At 41.0% G+C, this 6903-nt stretch overlaps 1 long non-coding RNA gene across 1 annotated transcript, besides 1 other annotated feature; it reads left to right on the forward strand.

The window, feature by feature from the left end:
- Positions 1-856: 856 nt before the first annotated feature.
- On the forward strand, positions 857-6685 carry LOC107985943 (uncharacterized). Its single transcript, XR_001739690.2, has 2 exons — positions 857-4539; positions 4620-6685. It is a non-coding gene; the product is annotated as an uncharacterized LOC107985943 (long non-coding RNA).
- Positions 2835-3493: an enhancer, noted in NCBI's record as "OCT4-NANOG-H3K27ac-H3K4me1 hESC enhancer chr2:123418771-123419429 (GRCh37/hg19 assembly coordinates)". NCBI's record gives its function as "activates a minimal SCP1, AML or CMV promoter by ChIP-STARR-seq in primed H9 embryonic stem cells {active_cell/tissue: H9 hESC(primed)}" and the evidence as "EXISTENCE:reporter gene assay evidence [ECO:0000049][PMID:30033119]".
- Positions 6686-6903: the final 218 nt, after the last annotated feature.

A 6903-nucleotide genomic window follows, 5' to 3' on the forward strand; every position in this document is an offset into this window, starting at 1 on the left:
GTATAGTTTTGACTTTATTTGAGAAATGTGCATTTTGGGTAAACTCATCTTGAGTATAATGATTGTTATGTTTACTAGATCTAAGAAATTAAAATATCTAAGTCTTTGTACACTAAAGAAGTACAGGATTATTTTTAAGAAAGCAACTCATATGTTTGGGAACATCTGTATACATCATTAATATTTTCTTTTGTTTGTAGATATTCATTATTATGTAGACACCACTCTGCTTTAAATCTTTGAAGATCAATTTTGAGAAATTTGATAGTGTTTGGAACAAACAGTATTCTGCTCAACTGGCATGAGTCAAAGGTCCACATTACCCTTAGGAAAAAAAAAAAAATTATTGCTTTCTGTGAGGGGTTTTAAAGATGTGACATTTTTCAATATCTGCTTTATAACTTTTGATGATAAAAACAAAATAATAAAAAATTACAGCAGAAAACATTCTTTGAAGGCTTATAATGTGTCAAGTTCTATTAAAAATGTTTTATATGCATATTTAAATTCATCCTCATAGCATCCCCAAGAGATAGAGGCTATTAGAACCATTTTACAGTTGGGCCAAATTCAGTCAGCTCAGAAGTGACAGTTCTGGGAATTTTCTTCTCCAGAGCCCAAGATTTTAAACATTGAGCATATTTCCTTCTAAAGCATATTGCCAAATACTATAGAAGGACCGTGAATTATACCTTGTGATTCAGGCTACCATCTTGAAACTAAATTATGAGTGAAAACATTTTGTTTGGTTACATTTTTTATATTTAAAATACATTTGAAAAGAATTTGGAATGTGTTAAAGTCAGAGTCATATATTGAGACCTCGTATCTGAATTGAATTACTTTAAACAAAGTGGAAAGAACTTTTTCCATCAATTTGAAAAGTAAAGTAAAAGACAGAAAGAAACAGAGAGATTAAATGTTTTTCCCTTATTTTGTATATTGTGGGCAGTGCCATTTATCTTAGCTATGTTAATAAACACTGGATTTTCAGAAGGTTTATGCTTCATCCTTGCTTTATGCTGTAATGTAGCCACACAGAATGTCTCTTTATGTTGACTGAAGTTAATATATGCATCTTACCTTTTAATATTGCATCAACTATAGTCATAGTGGTGGAAAATAATAATGCTCTGTGTTCTGCACTATGGTGGATGTTTTATAAACAGTATCTGCAATTATTACAAACTCCTATTAGAGAGCTATGTCTAACCTTATTTTACATGTAAGACATAGAAATTCGAAGTTCCCAGAATCAGTGAGTAGTAGATTTGAACTGAGTTTTAACACAACTCTAAAGCCCAAGCCTGGCCTCCTTCCGCTGCGCAATTCTCCTCCAGAGGGAAAGGCTAGCACCATCCCTAAGAGGGGCCGAAAGTCTTCTAAGGGCACCTGAACCATTGTGAAGAATTGTGTTAATAACCCAGTAATTCACACTTGTTCAAATTTTCAGACATTTCCTGGGATGCAGTCAAAACTTTTAGGAGTCTGAAGCCTGAGGCTGCCTGCTCTCTGCTGCTGATTATAGAGCTCTCTAGTTGATGAGTGGTGTCCTGGAGCTCCCTGGCCATACATACACAGTGCTCATGGGTCGACTGTATGGCACCAGCCTCTGCTGCTCTACCCTTTTCAGCCTTTTTTTCTGGAATGCATGCTGAGGTCCTCCTTGTGCCTTTGAAATTTTTATGAAGAGGGTGATTATTTTTGGTACAGCAAAATATGTAGAATTTGCACTTCTTAGGAATTAAACATCTCAATTTTTTTCCCCCAGAGAAAATAACTCTTGAGCAAGGGAACACTCATCTCACCGCTCAGACTTTGAGGTGGCCCTACATGTATACAAGTTTGGGGGAACATGAGAATTCCAATTAAATTCTGGGAAATCCAGACATATATTCAACAAGTATTTATTATGTGCCAGGCGTTATTTTGAGTGCTAGAAATATAATGGCAAATAAAACGAAAAGAACCCTGATCCTGATGGAGTGTGCGTCTAATGAGAAAAATATACAATAAGGACATAAGCAAATAAATTCATAATATAGCATCAGAGGCGATAAACAGTAGAAGGAAAAGTACGTCAGTGTAAGGCACAGAGAGCTCCCGGGGGCAGAGTGTTTTCATTAGGTGGTCAGAGAATATCTTGTTTTTTTGTGAGCAGCTTCAGCCAAAGTAAGTAATCAAGAATTATACTTGAAACGATTGGTTTCCAGATGTTAAGTATAACAAATATTAAAATTCCTCGGTCTAACACCCTACTCATCTTCCAGCTGCTTTAATTAGAGTAGTTTCTATTTGTTCTACAAATAGGGCTTCCTTGTAAAATTTTCTTTGGAGATGGGTTTCATATCTGAGAGCACTGCCTCAGACCAAATAAATATTAACACAGGAGGAAGCTGAGCGTCAAAGGGAAGCAGTAACTTGGCCAAGGATGCCAGTGCTCCCAGTGGCCAAGGGAAACCCAGGCTGCGGTCCTCTCTGTCCAAGCTCTGTCCTCGGCCCTCAGGTCCTGGCCTCCAGCACTGAGAGCAACACAGAGTGCCTGTGAGGCGGTCTAACTTCTGCTGACTGGTGAAGGTGGATCCCCCAGCCCCAGGAAAAGTCAACCAGCAGCTTGAACAGCGCTTCCCTCGCGGAGGCTCAGCACTCAGCTCATCCCCCGCCATCGGGCTGTAATTCAGGTGCCAGCGTTGCTCCTCCAGCAGGAACATAAGCCCAAACTTAACAAATTCCTAAAGCAGAACAAAGAAAGTGTCAGAGGGGAATGGGCACGGAGCCTGTGGACCGCACTAGAATCTTCTAATTCTTAGGAATGCAGATCGCCCTGTGTAAGGGGCCGCTCAGAGCGCCCGAGGAGCGCCGGTGGCCTCCCTTGGATGCTTCGCTATTCATCCCACCTTCTGGAAGAGGCTATTCTTTTGTGGCTGTCTTGGTGTTTGGCTGAGTTGTTATTGAATTCCTCCCTGACTTCTTTTTTTTTTCCTTCGGAAGACAGAAGAAAAGAAGCCGGCAGTGGAAGTCTTCTCTGGGAAGCCTCCTCCTCCTGCATCTGGCTGCTCCCTTTGGGGCAGCCTGGTCCGCCTCTCTGGGCGCCAGGTGCGTCTGCAGCGCTCTCCTGGAGGCCGGCTGCAGGTTCATTAGTGCTCACAATAGGCACGCAGCGCAGGGGAATATGTAAAGAAAGTGGAGGACATCGGAGTGGCATTCAAAGCGGCAGGCGGGAGTAGGAGTTTCCCTAGCTTTTCTTCCTTTGTTTCTAATCACCTTTTCTGTTTCTTCAGAGAGGATGCTAATAGAGTGAATACCTGGGCGTTCCAGGAGAAGAGTTAGTGGAGGTTTCAGAAAAGGAAATGCAATCTGGGACGAAAAATAGCTTTTCTTCCCCTTGGGGTGTGTGTGTGTAGTGTCTGAATGCTTTGCCACCGATGAGGCCGAGGACTAAAAGCAGGATAAAGGCTGTGATTGGCACAGAAGACCCCTGGTGAAATTTCTGGCTCAGGTACTAGCTTTCTGTGAGTCCTGTGCAATTCGGCACAGCCCTTGGGGCTTTGAGTCCTTTTTTTTTTTTTTTTTTTAATAAAATAAGAGACTTGGCTAATAGGATTTCTAGCCTACCACTCCTTTACAGTTTTAAGATATCATTTTAAAAAGTTACATTTCAAGACTGTAGTAAGGAGGTGACATTATATACTTAAACATAAAAATGTGGAGTGATTTGAAGAGCACTGAAATTATTCCACTCTTCAAAGTATATGCATTTATGTATACATACATGTACATACACGTGTACATAAACAAACATATACATATAGTCATTTTCAGATGCCTGAAATTCTGTCCTTAAAGACAGTTGTGAATCCCAGTTCTATTAGTATTTGACTGTGACCCTCTTAGTTTTGCCTACTGTCTGCAAGACTCAATTTTTCTTTTTTTCCTCATAATGGGAATAAATATTGTCTGTCTTCTAACTGTGTTATGATATTTAAATGAGGAAATGTGTTGAATGGTAGTTCTTCTTGTCTGAAAGATAAGAATACATGGGTGCCATCATCCAATCTCAAAGTCATTGGGTTTTGACAGAAATGGTATGATGGGTAATTATCCCATTTCTCCAAAGTCATTAGGAACCTGAAGTAATTTTTTTAAACTTGTTTTTCATGCACCTGTGTTGGCTAGATCACAGAGCCTGGGCCCATCCTCTTGAGGAAATATTATCTGCGTCAACCTTCCTCAATGCCTCCTGGATGACTTTACCACCATCTTGCAAATGTCTATTATTTGTTAGCTCTAGAAGACTCAGAGCAATGATTGCACCAATCTGAAGGTTATTTCTTCCATGCTGGTCTTCTGCCATTGGTGATATTACAGATGTTTGTCCAGAACATTACTGATGACAGCTACACACCTGGAAAATAAAGTTTCTTGTTTGTTCCTTCCAAATTAATTTTCTGAATGAACACCAGCAACTCAAAATGCATTCAGTTTCAGAATTCAAAGAACAGAAGAGCAAATTTGAGGGACACTCTGGCACAGTAGAGGGTATGTACAATCATTGAATGCAAAGTCTTTTACATTTTACCTTACACGTCAATCTCAGCTAATCAGGCTTTATTTTTCAGGAAAGTGCTGCAGAGCAGAGAAGCAATTCTCAACAAGACAAAGCTACTATAATAGCGACTTGTGGAGTCACGTTAAGAAGAAAATAGGCAGAGAAGTGGACTCTTGACGGGAGTCTCATCCATCATTTCCTCTCTGTGCAACCTCAGGCAGGGTACATAATCGATCTAACTTTTAGTTTTCTCTTATGTAATCTGGAGATAATAACATATATTTTATATAATTATTGTGAGTATTAAATACCAAAACCCCTTTATGTCACATGTTTAGCATAGTGTCTATATCACAGTATGTGCGTCATATGAAACTCAGTGCTTTGTACCCGCTGATTCCTGGTGAATGAAATACGGTCACACATCACAATGACTGTCTGCTGAAATGCCAAAATCCTGCCTGTAGTTCAGGAACCAGAGTAAAGGAAAATGAACCCTGTAGTGTTTTTACTTTTTCTCTCTTTTTAGAGAAAGATCATTTGCATGTGGCTCCACCTTAATAATTGCATTTGTAATGCTTTCATGTTGTCACATGGTCTAACCCCCAGGATCTTATCTTAATAAAAATTCAGTTAAACATGTGTTCAAATTGGCCAGATCAGCCAAATCTGGAACAGGGAAAGTTGTTTTCCTCCTAATGAACTGTCCCCTGGACACGGGCAGTGCCACAGAAGTTCAGGAATATTTATTGTCCATGGCATTTCCAGGAGTTACACTCTTTGTTGAACCCTTCCATCGTGCCAGGGGGAGGCTGGTGATTCATTAATTCACTGTGATGATTTGTCCTAATTATTCTAATTACTGCCTTGTCTCCTCAGACCAGCTGGTGCCTAAAGCAGAGGGAAAGTCACCAGTCATGAGGACTGCGGTGGTGGCTGCAGAATCCCGGGCACTGGATCTGTAGGATTCACTGTCACCACATCAAAAAAGCTTTGCTGCTGCTGCTGCTGCTGCTGCTGCTGCTGCTGTTGCTGCTGCTGCTGCTGTTGCTGCTGCTGCTGCTGCTGCTGCTGAGCCCAACTTATCCTTGGTGCTGCTCTGGCCTGAGTCCGGGTTCCCGGGGCCCTGCCATGCATGCATTCTCTCCTCTGCTCCTCTTGTACCTTTTCAGGGAGAGAAGAGCCCTGATACAGGTTGCTTTTCTGTCTTCCCAGCTTGCTGCCCCACCAATTCCAGACAGCATCTGCTGTGTGTTCTTTGTGCACCCATCCCTGTCTGAACGTATCTTAAACCCAGTCTGGTTTCTAACAACTGTCGATAATAAAAATATCTATTTCTTACTGCACACTATCAAGTGCCAAGATGGATGTTCATTGCCATATGTGCACTGTCTCTAAGTGCTACAGTTTGCAGTCTTAGTTCATATATTAAGGCTCTGCATGACCTAGAGACTAGTTTACATTGCCCAGCAAGGGAGTAACACATGGAACTGAATCCCAGATTGCTGCATCCCCAAAGTCGGGGGGCCCTTTATGCGTCTCTCTTTTCCCCTCCCACAAGCCTTCCTGGTCATCTACAGGACTCCTGCTGAAACCTTCCTTCGGTCTTTTATCCCTGAGCTCCTTTGCTGTGATAACATAGACTGTTCTGTCTGGCAGCCCTGGGCAGTCATCAGTGTTGGCTTTGCAGGTCAGCTTGGGGTCCCCAACCAGGATTCCTGAGGCCACAGAATCTTGCTGCAAACACAGCTAGTCTTGGAGAACTCATATCTGTGCCTTTCTGATGTGCTGTATCACCCCAGCCTGCCCTGTGTTTCTTTGGGATATTTTCACAGCTCATACTTCAGTGGTATTTGCCTCTTAAGTCACTTACCCCTTATTACTCTGAACAAAACTGGAATCCGAAAAAAACAAAAACAAAAACAAACAAACAAAAAACACTGGAACTGTGGCTCATCTCTCAGGGAATGAGCTGACACTTAGTAGAATCTATGACATGAGGGCTATGTTAGAGACCCTGAAATGAAGCTGGGTGAAAAATATCAAGGTGTTGTGAGTGACAAAGATGATATTCCAAAGATTCAACTGAGAAAGAGTCAGTGTATCTTATTATTAAAATTGCTTCTGTAAGAGTCATCATAAGCTTGACTTGTATTTCTTGACCAACTCTTATTTCTATTCATATCTCAGCTTAACTGTCATTTCTTCAAAGAGGCAGACATCCCAACTCTACAAACTGTAGGCCACCAGCTTCTGTCATTTTATAAGAACAGGTGAATCACTTCACACTTGAACTTATTTACTTATTTTCTTTTTCTTTTTTTTCTTTTCTTTTTTTTTTTTTTTTGAGACAG

Source organism: Homo sapiens, chromosome 2, assembly GCF_000001405.40.
Source record: "Homo sapiens chromosome 2, GRCh38.p14 Primary Assembly".
NCBI classification, from domain to species: domain Eukaryota; kingdom Metazoa; phylum Chordata; class Mammalia; order Primates; family Hominidae; genus Homo; species Homo sapiens.